This window comes from Homo sapiens, chromosome 1 (genome assembly GCF_000001405.40).
Source record: "Homo sapiens chromosome 1, GRCh38.p14 Primary Assembly".
In the NCBI taxonomy this organism is placed as follows: Eukaryota; Metazoa; Chordata; class Mammalia; order Primates; family Hominidae; genus Homo; species Homo sapiens.
Genome location: NC_000001.11, coordinates 43067747 through 43068780, shown reverse-complemented (window position 1 = coordinate 43068780; position 1034 = coordinate 43067747). Strand labels below are relative to the sequence as shown.

Below are 1034 nucleotides of genomic sequence, written 5' to 3'. Positions count from 1 at the left end.
CATTTAGAACTCTGGCTTTAACCAAGAAACAAGTTGTGCGACTTGGGCTAGTAATTGGACCTCTCCTAGCCTCGGCTTCTCTGTCCGGGAACGGTAGCCTTTGCTACCCTGGATGTACGGAGCAGACGGCCTTCCTGGGGGCCTCCCGCCAATGGGCTCCAATCCTCAGCGCCCACCTCGCCCCCAACCCCGCTTCCCGTTCCCTTGCCTGGCCCCAGCCGGCAGGGCTGTCAGCCGGAAGGGATTTGCAGCCCGAGAGGAATCAGCTGGGTCGGCACAGAGGCCGCCTTGTCCTGGTGGGGACCCGAGCCCGCGCAGTCACGTTGCTCAGCGGGCGGTCGTGGTGCCAGCGCCCAGCCCGCCCCCGCCGCCCCCGCCGCCCCCTCCCGGCCCGGGTGCGCTTCAAGGGCCGGCGCCGGATTTCCTGGCCCCGCGCCCAGCGCCCCGCGGGCTGTTTGGGAGCGCCCGGTGAGGGGACTGCAGGGGCTCCGAGGGCGCACAGCTTCCGTCCCAGCTCCCGCGCCGACTGGAAGCGGCCGGGGCGCACACCCCGCCTGCCCGCTCCCACCCTAGCCCTGCAAACTGGATCCCCTCCCCTTTCCCCCAAAGGGAACAGGCCTGGCCTCCTGCTCCCTTCCCCAGTCGCAGTCATCCCGATCGATGGTCACACATATCGGCAGAAAAAGTCTTCGAACTTGGAAGACCTCTCAGGATGAGCCTCACCGAGGCTGGATGGGGAGGAGGGAGGACTGGGTGAGTCCATTCCCGGTGTGGGCTCCAGATCTGAGTCAATTGTAGGCATCTAATCGGGATGTTCTGGGTCTGGGTTGGAAGCAGATCCAAATGGACCCGGTTCGGGTGTTGGGATCTCCTCTTAGTGTTCAGGGTTTGGGTGCTGGGACCCTCTCTGGGTGCTCGCATTTGGATGTTCGGTTCTTTACGGGAGTTTCTGGATGGCGTTGTAGTGATCCAGTACTGAGTTTGTAATGGAAACTCAGCCTGTGTAGATGCGTCTGGGTCAGGTGCTGGGACCT

The 1034-nt window shown here is 63.7% G+C and overlaps 1 annotated feature.

Annotated features, from left to right (window-relative positions):
• Positions 410-509: a silencer, noted in NCBI's record as "silent region_774". NCBI's record gives its function as "represses an Ori minimal core promoter by ATAC-STARR-seq in GM12878 lymphoblastoid cells {active_cell/tissue: GM12878}" and the evidence as "EXISTENCE:reporter gene assay evidence [ECO:0000049][PMID:35858748]".